Source organism: Homo sapiens, chromosome 19, assembly GCF_000001405.40.
Source record: "Homo sapiens chromosome 19, GRCh38.p14 Primary Assembly".
Classification (NCBI taxonomy): domain Eukaryota; kingdom Metazoa; phylum Chordata; class Mammalia; order Primates; family Hominidae; genus Homo; species Homo sapiens.
The window spans coordinates 29,259,937-29,277,819 of record NC_000019.10 but is presented as its reverse complement, the minus strand read 5'-3'; the positions used below and the strand labels follow the sequence as shown (position 1 = coordinate 29,277,819).

Here is a 17,883-nt window from a genome sequence, read left to right as displayed (position 1 = left end):
CATACACATGCACAAACACACACACATCATATACTCAAGATATAATTCATGCAAAGTTTAGAAACATTCAGGCATTTGATGGAGAATGAGAGAAGTGCTGTAGGGGAAGGGGGCACATAAGGCAAAGAGACAAAATACCTTTAGAAAATTTATAGAAATGCATAGATATCATATCTAACTTAGAGATTATGCATATGTAATCATATGTATGATTTTTGTAGGGGAAGGGGGTTTCAACTGTATTTAGGGTATGCTATTTCCTTTAGAGATTCTCCGAAGGAAGGAAGAAAGGAAGGAAGGAAGGAAAGAAGGAAGGAAAGAATACTAACCATGCCTTTTTATTTTCTGTATTTCTGATGTTTTGAGATGCTGGGGACTTCACCCTGGAGGGACTGCCCCTCCCAGGGACAGGCAGTTCCTAGAGAAAATAAGCAACTCCCCTGCGAGTTCCCCTTTGGTCGACAAACCAATCAATCCAGAGCCCACACCCCGACCACTTCCTTTCCTGGGCTCTCGTAGGTTCTTTCACTTTTAGCCACCAATCACGCCAGGCCTTGCCCTAATCACCCCGGGGCCAGGTATCAGACAACTAGTGACAGCCTCTGCATGCTGGGGCTGCTGAAATTGGACAAACTAGTGGATCCTAAGCCTACATGTTTGCCTCGTCTGTTTCTTCCCATGGAAATCACATAAAGGCTCTTGTCCACCCTTTCCCCTCCCTCCCTCTTCCCCCTGTGGCCCCCTCATGGCATGGTGTCTCCTCCTCTTGGGAACTGTGCGTAACAAGCTCTCTCTTTAATAGCAAGTGTCTCCTGCTCTGCTCAATCCATCATACCTCAATAGAAAGAAAACCTACATTTCAAAATAAAAGGAAAGCAAAATAAAATATAAAATAAAATAAAAGGAAAGAGAGGTGGGTGGATCATTTGAGGTCAGGAATTTGAGACCAGTGTGGCCAACATGGTGAAACCCCGTCTCTACTAAAAATACAAAAATTAGCCGGGCATGGTGACTCATGCCTGTAATCTCAGCTACTCAGGAGGCTGAGGCAGGAGAATCGCTTGAGGCCAGGAGGCAGAGGTTGCAGTGAGCCAAGATCATGCCACTGCACTCCAGCCTGGGTGAGACTCTGTCAAAAAAAAAAAAAAAAGGAAAGAAAAAGGAGAAAGGATGGAAGGAGAGAGGAAGAGAGCAAAGAAGGAAAGGAGGGAGGAAAGGAGAGAGGAAGAGAAACAAACAGAGGGCATGATTAGAGCAGGCCATCCAGCGAGGAGGCTGCTGGAGTTGTTCCAGTGAGGGATGGTGGTGACTGGACCAGCGAGACGGCAGTGGAAGGGACAAATGTGTGCACGGGAGGCAGGTGAATGAAAATCCACAGGCCTTGCTGCTGCAGTAAATATAGGGGGTGATGGAGGAAGAGGATGGAAGGTGGCTCCTGGGCATCTGGCATGACATGCTGGGCAGCTGATGATATTTATTAAGATAGAAGAGATGGGCTGGGACTAGGTTTGGGGCCCTGGCTTGGCAATCCTAGCCAAATAATTTAACTTCACTGTGCCTCTGTGAAGATATCTCCCAAGGAGTTGAGACTAAATGAGGTCATACAATAAGTGGAAGAGCTTCAGGCCTACTGTGAGAGCTCAGTGAAAGCTGGCAATGATGGAGACAGCTGGAGCCTGGCGCCAAAGAGGATGGGGTGGAGTGGGTGGCTGAGAGCCAGTGGGGGGTGGGTTGCTGAGCAGCAGTGGTGGTCCTCCTAGGGTCTTAGCAAAGGAGAAGCATGACCAGATATCCATTTTACAAATGTCATTGTGGCTGCCATGTGCAGAGTAGGCAGAAGGAGAACAAGAGGATGTGGGGAGACCAGCTAGGAGGTCTTTTCATGCTGGACCAAAAGTGGCAGCGGAGGAAGGGAGGGGGGCTAGATGTGCAGCAGGTATGAGCGATAGTTCATGATTGCAGCATGCAATACATATTACAATTCTCAAGTTTCTTTAAATCAACTTAAACTGGACACTGAGAACCCCAGTTCCACCATCTTGCTGATGGGAAAGGCGATCTCAGATAGCAATTTAGTCCTCCTTGTCCTCATTTACTCTGCTGAGTTACACAAATGTCCTTGGATGTCACGTGGCACCAAGGTTCCAGAGTTCATGGTGGCTCCCTCTAAGATGCACTGTGTTGTCCCAGCCTGAGAGGTCCCTTTATGCCTGAAGACCTGGGGCTCGGTAACACTATTTAGGACAAAGAAATAGGCAGGTCAGGGAAACCCATGGTCCTGTCTTCCTCCCAAATCACCTCCATATAGCAGGATCTTGGAGGAGGTGCAAAGCAGGCTGTGCTGGGGAAAGACAGCAGGATGTACACAGGCCTCTTACGGGAGCTTGATGGGACACAGCACAGGTGGGGGTCAGGGCGCCGCTGGCTTGTGCTCCAGGAAGGGTGACTCACTCTCTCCTTCCACCTTACCTACTCTACCTTTTTATAGAGGATTTTGCAAATGGAGGTAGGAGACACAGTCTTAACTCATCTAATCTTGGCTGTCAGCTGCTCAGAGGCGCTGCGCACCAGCCCTGGGAGTACCATTTGCCCAAGGGAACTGCATCCTAGCAGGAGTAGAGGCCTCCTGGGACCAGTAGCTTTATCTCACACGTGACAGACAGCATTAATGAAAGCTAGCATTTATTGTGCATGTAATTACGAGCCAGTTTTGGTGCTAAGCATATTGCATATGCACCTTATTGAACCTTCACAACCACCCTGGGAGATATATGCTAGTATTATCATCCTTGAGATAAAACAAGGAAGTGGAGACACAGAGGGATTCAGTGACTTGTTCCAGCTCCGACTGCAGAGACTGTGTTTCCAACCACTCCCTTTCCAGTTTCCTACAGAGCTCCTGGGAGGCAGTACCCAGACAGCCCGGGATTGGCAGGGTCCTCTAGGGAGCAGGGAAAGTGTGCAGGTCTCTCTGCCTGTGCTTTTCTTTCCACTTTCACTCCTGGGGCTGAGTAAGATGCCCTGTGGTGGTTACAGCAGTGCCCTTCCACCTCCTGTCCCTCCACTGCTCCCCAGTTATAGAAAAGCCTGCAAATGAAGGCTCTGCTCTGGAGAATGGTCTTCCAGCTCACATTCCGGCTGAAGAAGGTGACAAGGGTTTAATTTTGCTTGCTAATTTTGCTAAACAAATAGACAAACCAACAAACAAAAGCCCTGCCAATGCCGGCATCCAACCCAGTGAGGCATTACATTTTAGTAATTTAGTAAGCAGCGGCTCCCTGGCTGTATCTCTGCCATTCTGAGGTCTTTATTTAGTGCTCAGGTCATATGAATGGGCTGTATAGAGGGGACTGGATGGGCAAAGCCAATGCCTGTGGCTATGTATTGTAGTTTGGCTGCTGCAGGGTCCAAGGATACAGCGGGTCTGCTTGGGGGCACTTCTTTGCCAGGAGGCTACTGCATCACACATCACACCGTCATGAGACCATTGAATCAACTGCAGCCACCCTCCTGGGGCTCCTGCATAAGCTGCTTTCCCAAATGATTCTTCCATTTGCAGACCATATTCCTTTTGTGGAACATGGTGAAACAATTTCCTGCCTTTGAAGAGTGGAGACAGGCAACTTGGATTCGCTGCTCACCCGCATGGGAAAAGCTTGTCCTCTCCTCTTTCACAATGAAAGGTCCCAGGCTCTGAAGACTAGAGACAGAAAGATGGACTTGAGAGAGGGCTAATGCAATGAACACTGGAGTCAGAGTCCAGAGGCCAGCAGTGCAGCTGCCCCAGCACCGACTCACAGCCTGGACAAGTGATTGCATCTGTGATGTGAGCACGTTAACATTTGCCTCGCTCTACCATGGCCCCAGTAAAATCAGGAGTGAGAAACTCAGAACCTGCAGCGTCCAGACAAGAAGCATAGATATTCACAGAGGGACAAGAGTTAGGGAGATGCTGAACTGCTTGTATTGTGAGTCACTCAAACCCTACCTGGTAATCGTTTCTTGAGAAACTGCATGAACAAACAAGATGATCAAATAAACATACTCCTTGCTGAATCAGGTCAAGGTTCATAAAGTTGTGACCCTTGGGAATAATCCTTTATTCCTATTTAGGATTGCTAAGTGTTCTCAGAGGGCCTAATGTCTCTGATGTCACAGCTGGAAATACCTGACACAGGTGACAATGGGAGGGTTCCTAGGCAGGGAGAATAAAAGAAGTAAAGAGCCATGTTGGGTGATCCCAGCTGCCCAACTGGAGCACATTATGGAGGAGGGTGAATCATCTTAGCAGACATGTCTAATTGACGTTCCATGGCCCCAATGATGGGCAATAAGACCTCGCCAGGAAGGCTGCTGAGCCTCTTATGAGTCTCCAGCCTGTGGCAGCTCTGCCTGGAGGGCAATGCTTGCTGATGAAGCTATTCATTAATACGGGTTCATCGGTGTCCTGCAGACAGCTCTGAGCCATTTGTTTGCTTGTCAAGCTGGGTGTTGCTCTCTGCCAGGCTGCAAGAAGCTGACATTAATATTTTTATCAGCCTGACTTTGGGAGGTCAGATGGGATTATTATAGATGACATCTCCCTGATCTTAGCAAAGAAAATTGATTAAAATGTGCTGAGTCAGAAAGTCTGGCTCAACAGTTAAAAGCTACAATACATTACGGTCTGAGATCACGTCCGATCGCCTCAATTGGGGAGAAATGTTTCAGATCAGAAGACTTGAAAAGTGTGCAATTCAGGAGAATGGAGAAAAGGCCTGGGGGAGAGTGATACAAAGGGTGTGATGGTGGCCTTCCACATTAAGCATTGCTATCTTGTCAAGCGTAGCTTCCACAAATGTGACCGAGTGCATCTTTCCTACATTTTTAACCTTTAAAAGTTGTACGTTGGTGTACGCAAATGTACGTAAAGTAACTGTGATGGCTAATTTTATGTGCTAACTTGACTGAGCCATGGAGTGCCCAGATACTTGGCTAAACATTATTTCTGGGTGTGTCCATAAGGGTGTTTCTAGATGTCATTAACGTTTGAATCAGTGGACTGAAGAAAGCAGGTGGCCCTCTCTGGTGTGGGTGGAGCTTGTCCAATCAGTTGAAGGCCTGAGTAGAACAAAAAGCTGAGTAAGAAAATTCTTTCTCTTTGCCTGACTGTCTGCAAGCTGGGACATCGGTTTTCTCCTGCCTTCAAGCACAGACTTGCACTGGAATTCGTAGTATCAGCTCTCCTGTGTCTGTACTTCTCAGCCTCCATAATTGCTTGAGCCAATACCTTATGATAAATAGCTTTCTAAATATCTATCTATCTATCTATCTATCTATCTATCTATCTATCTATACATCCTTTTGATTCTGTTTCTCTGGAAAATTCTGACTGATACAGTATGTATATACAAAGTATGTAAAAACAAATGATCAAATCAAATAAGAGCCAAAGAAAGTTCTGGAAGGCCTCCATGTAGGATGGTGCCACCTTAGAGATGCATGAGTACTTAGAGAAAATCTAGTCCATCTTTTGCTTTGCAAATGGAGAAACTGAGGTGCAGAAAGTGGAATGCCAGGTACCTTCCTGCCCATGCCAGGCACCTTCTTGAAAACTGAGCTGTGACTAGCATCACACCTCCTGAATTTGAACCTTGTGTGCATCCGCCTGCTTGCACTCACACATGTACATGTAAACTTTCACACATTTATGCAGGCACAATGCACACACACGTGATACATGCATGCATGGTCGCACATGCTTTCACACATGCTCATGCGAGCACATGTACCTACATGACCACATGCACATATGCACACTCATGCACACATCTTCACCCCAACCTCTCTAGAAGCATGAGAGATAATGCCACCATATCACAAGTGCCAGCTGCTTACTGTGTGTGCCACACACTGTGCCAAGTGTTTTAAATAGACTCTAATCTTCACAATGATTCTAGAAGTAGGGCCAATCTTGTCTCGATTTTATAATGAGAAAACTGAGCCTCAGAGAAGCCAGGCAACTTGCCCAAAGCTGCACAGCTGGTAGGCAGCTCAGCTGTCTGACTTTGGAACCTGTACACTTATGCCTTCTTGATGATAAAATAGGCTGTGGGGGCTCAGTGATCAACCTTGGAGGACTTTGGCTTTCAGATCCTTGAGGAAAAGCCAGTTAACTGAGAGATCATTAAGCATCACTCTTAGGGCAAGGCAAAGCACCCTTCCTGTCACTGACAAGATGACTAGAAGAAGTTTCCACAGCCCCGTGTCTCTGGGATTCTGTCAGTGACAGCACAGCGGGTGAGAGGTCACCAAGGGACATGGAGGGGTCAGGGCACCACTGGATGGCTGTGGCTTGGTCCCACAGGGATGCCTGTGGTGGCAGAATTCTAGGGTGGCCCCAAGACTCCTGCCCCAGGTATGCACAGCTTCTGTGACTCCCTCCCCTCAAGCGTGGCAGGAACTGTGAATATGTGAACTTGGTGGGGTATCATTCTCATGATCACTGTGTTGAATGACTAACAGATGTGATTAAGGTCACTAATCAGTTGAGTCAACAAAAGGGAGCTTCTCAGAGTGGGCCTGACCTAATCACATGAGCCCTTTAAATCTGGGTCTAGAGGTCACAGACAGGGAATTCAGAGAGATTCAAAGCATGAGGCATGTTCCTGCAATGCTGGAAGAGGCCAGACATCAATACTGTAAACCAACGACAGGAGCCTGAGTCAGGGAACAGAGGGTGGTCCTAAGAGCTGAGCATGGGCCCAGCAAGCAACTAGCAAAAAAAAAAAAAAAACAAAAAAAAAAACAACTAGGGGCCTCAGCCCTACAACCTCAGGGAACTGAATTCTCACAACAAACTGAATGAACTTAAAAGAGGACCTCAAGTTCCAGATGAGAATGCAGGCCCGGGGGCCCCTCAACTTCAGGCTCGTGAGACCCTGAGCAGAACCTGGGGCCTGGATTCCTGGACCATGGAAAATGTGAGTTAATAAACATATTATTTTGAATGCTAAATTTGTGGCAATCTGTCATGTAGCAATAAAAAAACGAATACAGCATCCTCAAGTGGCATCCCTGGGCTCTGCAGAAGTGGCGTCTCCACCCCCATCTTTCTGGCTCAGCATCAAAGCTGGAAGGCACACCCCCAGCTTGGTTTAATGTCTTGTTTCTGCTCTCTCAGCCAGTAGGAAAGTCCCCCAAGGGTAAGCACAACTGAGACAGCAACGAGGATCCTGATGATGTCCACATGGCCTAGAAATTCTAGGATCTCTGGTTCCTTCAGGAGGGTTTGCTTGTACCTAGTAAGAGGAAGGAATTTCTATGCACGCAAACCCAACCTGTATGTGAGAAGTTCTGATGTCCCTGGGTATGTGCTGTGGCCTCTGTTCCTGCACTTGTTCATTGGGAACGTGATCTTCAGGGGCTCCGATTCAACTCCCGTGATTCCCGGGCCACGACTGCAAACACTTTGTGTCAGCTGCTGGATTAAATCTTCCTCCTAAGAGAATGTTAAACTCTCTCATTCTCCATTACTTTAAGGTATTTTTAACTTCTCTACTTTGTTGCAGTTTTTCTTTGGCACTTTCTGGGTGTTTTTACTTTTTCTTTCTTTTTTTTGCCACTTTTTAAAGCACTTTCATTCAGGGTTTTCGTGAAGTCCTGAAGCAGTTTTTAAACTTTCAGCCTTGAAACTCTGTTCCCGTTGCAAGTGTGAGGGAAACACAATAAGACCCCATGTCGGGAGGGGCTGCCTGTGTGCCCCACAGTGGCCCTCCCTCCAGCACCTGTGGGGGAAGGCTCACCTTTTCCTCTTTGGTGCCTATTTTGAGAATTGTCACAGTAGCTAAAATAAGAATCCAGCGTATGCCGGGTGTGAGAGCTGGCAGCCACAGCGGGGGGGGGGGGGAAGGGGGGGCGGGTGAGGGAGATGGCAGACGGAGCCCCCTCCCACCAGCCTGACAGAGGGAGCCGCTGGCCCATAGGCCTGCAGGACAGAGCTCAGCTTTGACACGCCCCTTCCCACGCTCCACTTTGGCCGCCTGGTTGTCACCCCCGTCCCAGTGGACCCCAGAACAAGATCACACCTACACAGGTTTTTTCCAGGCCATAGGCCCCCCCGGTGAGGCCTCACCTCCTTCTCTGGACTTGGAGGGGAAGGCACCAACTGCTAGATGTCATCTCAGCAGCATCGAATGTCACAACGAATGTCCATTTCTGGGCCTCGGCAGTGGCTGTTCCCTCTGCGTGGGCTGCCGCTGCTCCAGATGCACCCAGTGCTACTCCTTTTCAGCAAATGGCTCTTCTCTGCTGGGGACCAAGCTGCAAAATCCCCCACCTCTCCCCCATGCCTCTTTTTTTTTTTTTTCATGGCACTTACCTTGTTCATTTTCTTTCTCTTCCATGACCGTGAGCAGAAACTCTTGTAGCCACTGCACCTCTAGCTGTAACTCAGCCTGAGCCTGGCACAAGGAGCAGCTGTTGGAGCAAAGAAGCCATCGCCAGTCCTCCGCGGAAGCTTCCCTGTAGCTTCCAGCTTCCAGTGGCGGGGAGCTCACCGCCTTGCAAGCCGCCCTCCCCCAGCTCCCGCGTATGCTGAATCCAGTCTGGAGCCCTCAAAGCAAGCCCAGAGCTGTCTCCCGTAGAGGGAACGCCTTTCCTGGAGAGCAGAGAGACTGCTGAGCCTGCCCTTAGAATGGCCCAATCCCAGAGGTCAAGTCCTGGGGCTCCCTGGAGCCTTCTGTTTCCTTTCCTGTGCTTTAGGAAAATGTATGCAGTGTCAGAGTGGCACTGCGATGTCTCCTCGCCCTTCCACACAGAGCCCCAAATCCAGCAGGCTCTCTGGGCTGAGTCCTGCCCTAGCAGGCTCGAGCATGAGGAAGCTGGGCGGAGGCAGAGTAGGTCTCCAGCCCGCCTCCGGACCCTCGGGCTGTACCCATGCAGATCTGCTCCATGGATGCCGGCCACCTCCCTGTCTAATGCCACTGTATATTCTGCACATATTCTCGCTGCTGACAAGGCCATCCATTTGCGTTCACAAAGACTGTTCGGCATTCTAGCAACTCATAGGAAGTGGGAGCACGTTCCCATCACGTGCACTGGGGCTTCGCGGAAATGCTTCTCTCCTGGCAATAAAAAGAAGAAAGAGGAGGAAATGACTATTTTCTGCAAACACAGAGAAAAACTGGCTGGCCAGGGTGCTCCAGTGCGCACCGTTTCCCACAGCTGCTCGCCCCACCTGGGAAGCTTTGCCCAGGTGGCCTTTTCTCCGGTCTCTATCAGAGGGGACTGAACCAGGGAAGTCGCCTCCCTGCAGGCAGATCTCGTGTTTAGAGAGGCAGATTTGTTCACCTGTTATGCAGGCTGGACGCCTCGCAGCCCCTCCATCCCTCTCTCGCCCTCTCTCTCCACGGGTCCCATCAGTCTGTCTCGGGGTCTGGGCCGCCCTCCCTGGAGCTGCCCACAGTCTCTCCTTCCCCATAGCCTCCCCCGCGGGCCTAGCCTCCGTACTTGCTTCATGACGCCTGCCACCGTTTCCTGAATGACCTCCCCGTTTCTGCACCCACCAGCCTCCCACCACTGTCCACACTGCAGCCAAGCTCTCCTGTGCCGGCTCCTGTCCCTCAAGCCCCGCGGTGTGGGTAGCCAAGGGAACTGCAGACATTCTGGATATTCTGTATCAGACGGCGCCCCTCTGCTGCCCACTCTCAGCCTCAGATGGAAACTCCTTCTGTGAACTTACACATCAACAACAACAAAAACCAGAAATAATCCCATTAAAAGGTGGGCGAAGGACATGAACAGAGATTTCTCAAAAGAAGACATACATGCGGCCAAGAAACATAGGAAAAAATGCTCATCAGCACGAATCGTCAGAGAAATGCAAATCAAAACCACAATGAGACACCATCTCACACCCATCAGAATGGCTATTATTAAAAAGTCAAAACATCACAGATGCTAGCGAGGCTGTGGAACAAAGGGAGTGCTTATACACTGTTGGTGAGAATGTAAATTAGTTCAGCCCCTGTGGAAAGCAGTTTGAAGATTTCTCGAAGAATGAAAAACCGAGCTACCATCCTACTCAGCAATACAATTGCTGCGTCTGTACCCCAAGGAAAATAAATCATTCTACCAAAAAGACGCCTGTACCTGTACGTTCATGGCAGCACTTTTCAAAATAGCAAAGACGCGGAATCAATCTAGGTGCCCACCAATGGTGGGCTAAGAAAAGTATGGTACATCTACACCATGTAATACTATGCAACTCTAAAAAATAATGAGGGCCAGGCGCGGTGGCTCATGCCTGTAATCCCAGCACTTTGGGAGTCCGAGGGGGGTGGATCACGAGGTCAGGAGATCGAGACCATCCTGGCTAACACAGTGAAACCCCGTCTCTACTAAAAATATAAAAAATTAGCCAAGCGTGGTGGCGGGCACCTGTAGTCCCAGCTACTTGGGAGGCTGAGGCAGGAGAACGGCTTGAACCTGGGAGGCAGAGCTTGCAGTGAGCCAAGATTGCACCACTGCACTCCAGCCTGGGCGACAGAGTGAGACTCTGTCTCAAATAATAATAATAATAATAATGAAATCATGTCCTTTGTAGCAACATGAATGCAGCTGGAGGTCATTCTCCAAAGTGAATTAACACAGTAGCAGAAAACCAAATACCACATGTTCTCACTTGTAAGTGGGAGCTAACACTGGGTACTCATGGACATAAAGATAAGAACATTAGACACTGGGGGCTGCTAGAGTGGGGAAGGAGGGAGGGAACAGGGTTGAAAAACCACCTGTCAGGTACTGTGTTCCCTATTTGGGTGACGGGTTCAACAGAAGCCCAAATCTCAGCATCAGGCAATACACCCATGGAACGCACCTGCATTTGGACCCCCTGAATCTAAAATTCAGGGGGCTGAATTTTAGAGAAGCTCATCCCATGGCTCACAGGCCCTACCTGTTCTAGCCTCTGCCTCTCTCTTCCCCCTTGTCACTCCACTCTTGTCACTCAGCTTCCTCTGCCTCCAGACCAAGCCAACCACATTCCTGCCACAGGGCCTTTGCGTGTGCTGTTCCCTTTACTTGGCTCACACTCTTCAGACTGTCCCTGGCTGACTTACTCATACAATTCCAGCACTGCTTGGCAATCTCCTCTTCAGGATGCCGCCCTGGCCACGCAGCCACTCTGGGTGTTCTTCTCAGCCCTTGTCACCAGCTGACATGCTCTGGATTGTAGGTGGCTGCCAGTTTATTGGTGTCTTGGCGTGTGTCTGCTGATCTCTGCATCCCTCTCACCAGGAAGAGTATTTGGCATGTGATATGGATCCACAGCCCACACAACCTCACAACCCAGAGAGGGATGCAGGGCACAGCCAGCCCTGGATTGCAGAACCATGGGCTCTGCTTTGTGAACTGCTCACCCCAGGGTGTGAACAGACCTGCATTTTCACACTAAAACAGGAGACCTGATTGTTTCTTGGGCACTTACTCAGTGGGCAGCATTTCCAAAGGTGACCCTGGAAGGAGGATGAGACCTGGGGGCTGGCAACAGCAGCAGTGGAGGGTCTGCTGACAGGCATAGGCCATGCTCTGTGTCATCTGGGGTGTGGCACCACGGGAGGAGCAGCGAGTTGACGGTGACAAATTCTCTGCCAGCATGGTTTCAAGGGATGCTGTGAGCTCCCAACCTGGAATGGCAAGCCAGTGGGACGTTTATTAATTGTGCTGTGCTGGAGGAGCAGGGAAATGGATTTGGATCCTGGGGAGGTGCAGTATTGACATTGGAGAGCCTCTTTTTGAAATGGATGGGTCATTTCTGAGGATGGAGGCAGAGCCCAGGAAACTTTAAGTGAAGAAGCTCAGACTCTTTGGGGCATGTGTCTGTTCAACACTTTCTCTGAGCATTGATTATGGGTCCGGCTTTGAACGAGATCTGTTAGGGGCTCAGAAAGGCGACACGGAGGGCCCTGCCCCAGACAGTGCACAATCTGGAGTGGTGCTGAGTCTGGCCTTGATCAGGAGTCACCCTGCAGAATAAGCAGCTGTGTGTTGGGGCCTTACATGAATGTGGACAGAGAGACAGCCTGGAATGTCCAACGCACATCCAGGAGGCAGAACACTAAGATGAGAGGTACCCTGTCCTTTGCACGCAGGCCAAGGTGGGAGATAAAATTCAGGACTTGCTCAAAAGTGGGAGCAACCCTTGCCCCCCGCATCTCTCTCCAGGCTCCAGGAGGAAGGAAGCCCCCATAGGAGATGAACCCCGAGGAGAGAGGAGGCCATGTTTCCTTCCAGTCAAGGAGAAGCGTTAGGAGTGGGGTGGGAGTGGTGCAGAGAGAAACTGGGAACATCCGTCCTCCAGAGACCCACATTCCAGTATGGACACATTCAGGAACACAACCCACACCATGTAATGTGGTCTTTCCCAGAGGCCCTGGGACCTTCTTTTCTTTTCTTTGGGACTCCATCCCTCCCCCAGAAGTCAACAAGAATGATGGTGGCAGAGCCACCTTACTCGGTAATGTGAGGCGATCATTGCACGCCACCACTGTCGACCCTTTGCACAGACAAATCACATCCACCCCAAGCTTGCGTGATTGTTTTTTAAATAGTGGTGACCGTGTTTAGCGAACACTTTTTATGACATCACATTGTTGACCTCAATCTGAGGAGATGGGGGAGCTAGCCCCATTTCACAGATGCAGCGCTGAGGTTCCGGGATGTGAGGTGAGGTGATCACAGGCTCACAGCCTGGGAAGCGCAGAGCCTGGGAAAGGCCCACATGGTCTAGCTGCAAGGTCTGTGCTCAGGGCCCCACAGCAGCTTGCAGATGGACAGAACTGGGCCTCATGGACAACATCAGAGGACTGCTTCAATGACAGCTGAGAGTGATTTGTAATATCATTAACTGCTTTGTTTAATTTGTCCCTGAAAACAATTTATCTCTTATCTAATTTAAATCTGTCACACCCTGTAGACATGTGAGGACTATTAAAAAACCCTTTCTTTACAGATAGTGGATGCCAAATGCTAGCCTAACCTTATCCATGCCATTGCACAAGCAATGGCAATTAACACCTGCTCACTCCCCTACAAGAAGGAACCCACCCACCGTTGCACTTCCCTGGTGATGCTAATCTCAGTCCCCTCTCCACTCCCAAGCATGTCCGTGTTGTTCTAATAATCTCAGCAATTGATGGTAAACTCATAGGCATGAATTCTGCCTCCACCACCAAGTTTCTCTAGATTTGACAATTGAACAGACCTCTCTTTTATGCCCTGTAAGATGAATGCATATTTATTTTTTTTGCTGTTAAGGGGTGAAAATGGGAACAAGGAACATTTTATTTGCCTGTGTGATGTGTTTCTCTGCATTCTGCAGTGAGCTTGTCTTTTCTTTCTTCCGCATATTAGACTGGGGGCCTTTGCTGTCAGTTCTATTTGATCCACTCCCTACATTGCTAGCCTGGTCTTGTCACATACATGCTACATAAATGAATAAATGATAAGCTTCTTTCAAGAATTTTGCCTTATTGAATTCTCTATTCTTAAGATTGATTTTATTTTAAAACCAAAATTTAGCAAAAAAAAAAAAAAAAAGAAAAAAGAAAAAGCAGCAGATCACTGGCTTAAATTAGCTTATTTTTAAGAATAGAATTGTCTTTTAGAATAATGCATGTAGACACAGCCAGTGTTAGAAGAATGATTAATTAATACAGGTGCAGGCACAAAGGCAGAAATTCCCTGGCTTGGAAGTCAAGACATGCAGCATCTGCATCCTCCGAGGAATTCCTCTGTGGCCTGCTGGAAGGGAGGGGACCTTCTGCCCTGCATCAATGAGATAATGAGTGATTGCATCGGCTCAGCGTCTCAGGATGCAGCACGCCTCTGTCAAAAGATTCTCCTTCCAGAGTGGAATTTCCAAGGGAATACAAACGGTGCATTTACTGAATCAAAAGGCATAGGAAGGGAGAGTTGAAAGGTTGGGTGTGGAACATCTAGATATTTAGGCAGTCCCTCGGAAAGAAAAAGGAGATTTGGAATGGGATTAGCCTGGAGGGCATCATTGACTAGCAGTGGTGCCTTGGGCAAATTCTTTGTCTGTTTCCTCATCTGGAAAATGGGGATAATGATGTCCATGAAGATTAGGGAGCTCTCCCAGGCTGCAGCGGGACCACGAACCTGAATTCCACTTTCAGCCAGCAGGGGGTGTCTGGTGCTTACTTCCCCAACCAAAGGGTGTTTCTCAAACCTGATTCTATAGCTCACAAGGACCTGGAGTTGACACTTAAGGTGACAGCTGCCCCTTCCTTCACCCTGGAGGGGTTTGGGGTGATGCTGTGGTTGCTATTCTTATCACTGGTGAGCAGGAGGGAGGAGTGAAGTGTGAAGTCAGCTGGGCTCCAGGCAGTGTCAGGGGGAGGGGAAACCATCATTTGGTGGCAACTGCAGCCTTGGCAGTAGGGGAAGAAGAGGTCCCAGGAACCAATCACAGCCTGAACCAGCTGCTCTTCATCCCAGTTGGCATGAGAATGCCCAGCTGAGCCAGGGAGGTATTTAGAGACAGGATTACACATGACGTGCAGAAAGGAGAACCAAGGGCAGAAATGAACCTCTAGCTGTCCTTGTCTTTCCCCAGGAAGCCTCCCTTTTCTCTCTGGTTCTGGAACTAAAGCCATTTTCCTGGGTGATTGTGGGGCTTGAGATATCCTCTGGGCACAGAGCAGTGGACTGGAACCATGTCCTTGCCAAAGTGTGTCCAGAGAGGGGCACGGGGCAGAGCCCCGGATTGCAGAACCGTGGGCTCTGCTCTGTGGACTGCTCACCCCACAGTGTGAACAGATGCTGCACTTTCACACTAAAAGAGGAGACCCAACTGTTTCTTGGGTGCTTACGCAGTGGACAGGATTTCCCACTGAGGTGTCCACATGCATAGCTTCTTCTGGCCCTCCTGTGGCTTTGAGCATGCAGGAGTCATGTCATGACCACTCTGCAGTTGAGCATCTTGAGTCTTACAGGATGAATTGTCTGAGTGGAGGAGAACTTTGGGTTCATGCTCACCCACCTTGGAAGAATTTAACTCCACGCCTGTCTCACTCCGTGACTCTGGAAAAGTTATTTGAGTTATATTCCATCCTCCTGTGTCCTGATCTGTCAGCTAAGAAAACGAAATAGGACTTAGTGAGTGAATGAATGGCAGTGGCTACTACATTCTCAGTGCTAGAAAGGTGCAGGAGAAAGGTCACTTTCCATTCTTTCTATCCTTAGATTTGTGCACGTACACACATTCACACACACCAAGTTTGAGATCGTTTTGCAATTAAAAAACAAGGGAAGGCCATTTTGCATCCCTGAGCCTCAATTTCCTCATCGGGAAACTGGGGATGATAATCTAAACAATAATAATTAATAATAGTAATGGTGACAGTTTCATATTCAGCACCTTCTCAGCACCAGGTATTAAGTGTTTTACATACATTATTATGTTGTGATAATTAAATGAGGTAATGCACATAGAAGTACTTAGTACAGTGTCTGGAACACAATAAACACTCCATAAATGTTAGCTAATGTGGTGATTTCTGTATTCAGTGTGGATGATGTCATTGGCTGGTGTCTCATTCTTGGCCTCTGTTAGACACACACTAATGTACACACACAACTACACACCACTAGGGTTTAAACATCTTTTTATACTGTTTTATCAAACGATTTTATTCTTTTACTACCCAGATGAGAGTCCCTTGAGGGTAAAGGATAAATAACCTCCCAAAGTGTTTTTGCTTCTTCTTGTTGTTTTGAAACAGAGTCTCTCTCTGTTGTCCAGGCTGGAGTGCAGTGGCACAATCTCGGCTCACTTCAACCTCCACCTCCCAGGTTCAAGCGATTCTCCTGCCTCAGCCTCCCGAGTAACTGAGACTACAGGCATGCACCATAACGGCCAGCTAACTTTTATATTTTTAGCAGAGACAGCATTTCACCATGTTGGTCAGGCTGGTCTCGAACTGTTGAGCTCAGGTGATCTGCCCTCCTCGGCCACCCAAAGTGCTAGGATTACAGGTGTGAGCCACTGCACCCAGTCTTTTTCTTATTTTTCTCTACTTTTTTTTTTTTTTTTTTTTTTTTTGAGACAGAGTTTCACTCTTGTTGCCCAGGCTGAAGTGCAATGGCATGATCTCGGCTCACTGCAACCTCTGCCTCCCGGGTTCAAGCGATTCTCCTGCCTCACCCTCCCAAGTAGCTGGGATTATAGGTATGCGCCACCACGCCTGGCTAATTTTGTATTTTTAGTAGAGACGGGCTTTCTCCATGTTGGTCAGGCTGGTCTCGAGCTCCGGACCTCAGGTGATCAGATTATCTGCCTGCCTCGGCCTCCAAAGTGCTGGGATTACAGGCATGAGCCACCATGCCTGGCGTTTTTTCTACTTTTAGGATTCATCTCAATGAAAGGCCAAAGCATACACACTGCAAGTTCTTTGCCCCTGCATGCAGCCTCTGCTAAACGTGTATAACCTGGTGTCTTCTAGAGCTTGCTACCCCTAAAGAGTTTTTGAAAACATGACAGAGAGTGACACTGCTTGTCAGCTGCAAGTGCTGTCATGGCCTACTGCCTACTGATTGGTTGTTCTTCCACTCTTTGCTAAGCAGTGAGGAGACACAGTCTCTCCCCAGGTATCCTAAAAGCTGATACTCACCTTGGCTGCCTCCCAATCTGCTCACAGAATGGAAAATGCAGCCGGAGTGTCAAGCTGCTGACCACACAGATGGCATTGAGATGTTGCATTTGTGAGACTCTGGAACCACCCAGAGCCCCAGCTTATGGGGACCCAAGGGAGATTACATGCGAAGAGGGACACCCCTTATTAGTGTGAGTTATTGCATTAAAATCTGCCATTGCTGTGGCTACTAAAATGGATGGTGTAAGGATATCACACCAATTGATAAGTCAGTTAAAAAGGTGGTCAAAGAATTGTGTCTGAGTAAAGAATGCATGGACACAATAAAAGTGGTAACAGCAAAAACAAAAACTAATAAGCAAATTTAAAAAGTATTACCAGCTAATATTAGTGAACATTTACTACTCACAGGTGCCCTGTCGACACTGTTTCAGAGACCATAGATAGATGGGTGTTATTATTACCCCCAACCAGCAGGGGGGGACACAGTGCTGTAGAGAGGGAAGGTGCTGATGTTCAACCGCCAATCAGCACCACTTGCCTGTGTTGCACAACAAACAAGGCAATGGAGTTGGCATCTGAGCCCCAACAGTGCGATTTCAGAGACAAAGAGCTGCCCATTGTCCAGTGGGAAGCAAACTTGCCAATGCCTGGGCCTAGTAGGCACACACACACACAAAAACTAAATGATTTTGAATGAATGAATGAATGAGTGTTGCTGGTGGGCAGGCATTTTGTCTTCTTCAGTCTGTCTCCCCAGTGCCCAGCATATAGTTGGCTCTCAAAAAGATCTCTGTGCTCAGCCCCAACTCCCTCCATGAGCAGCCCCATGGGGTCCTCACTAGCTTCCTGAGTGCTGTCTACTTCTCCAGCACAGAGACCTGTCTGGGCTGGACACGAGGGTCGGGTCTGCTCCCAGGGCTACTCAGATTGTGTGACAGCAGGCTTGACGCTGAGCAGGCCAAAGGGCACACAGTTGCAAAAGCCAGATGGTTGTTTCTAAATCCAATTCCCTCCTGCTGCCAACCTGCTCTGAAATACAATCCATCACTCACCATGATAGATGTCTTTGAACTTGGGAACTCAACTCTTGAGAAGCAGAGGAGGGAAATTGAATACCAACCCTCCCTGCTCCCCCCAGAGAGGTTCTGTTGTTGCTGGAGGTGGTGACAGCTTGGAAAATGGTGTCACAGCTCAAATTAGTGCTGAGCAGGCATGGGGCACTGGT

The 17,883-nt window shown here is 48.6% G+C and overlaps 2 annotated features.

The window, feature by feature from the left end:
* Positions 345–394: an enhancer, noted in NCBI's record as "active region_14406". NCBI's record gives its function as "activates an Ori minimal core promoter by ATAC-STARR-seq in GM12878 lymphoblastoid cells {active_cell/tissue: GM12878}" and the evidence as "EXISTENCE:reporter gene assay evidence [ECO:0000049][PMID:35858748]".
* Positions 5,532–5,727: a silencer, noted in NCBI's record as "fragment chr19:29763000-29763195 (GRCh37/hg19 assembly coordinates)". NCBI's record gives its function as "represses an EF-1alpha promoter that drives an FKBP-Casp9 reporter gene in an ReSE screen in HepG2 liver carcinoma cells {active_cell/tissue: HepG2}" and the evidence as "EXISTENCE:reporter gene assay evidence [ECO:0000049][PMID:32094911]".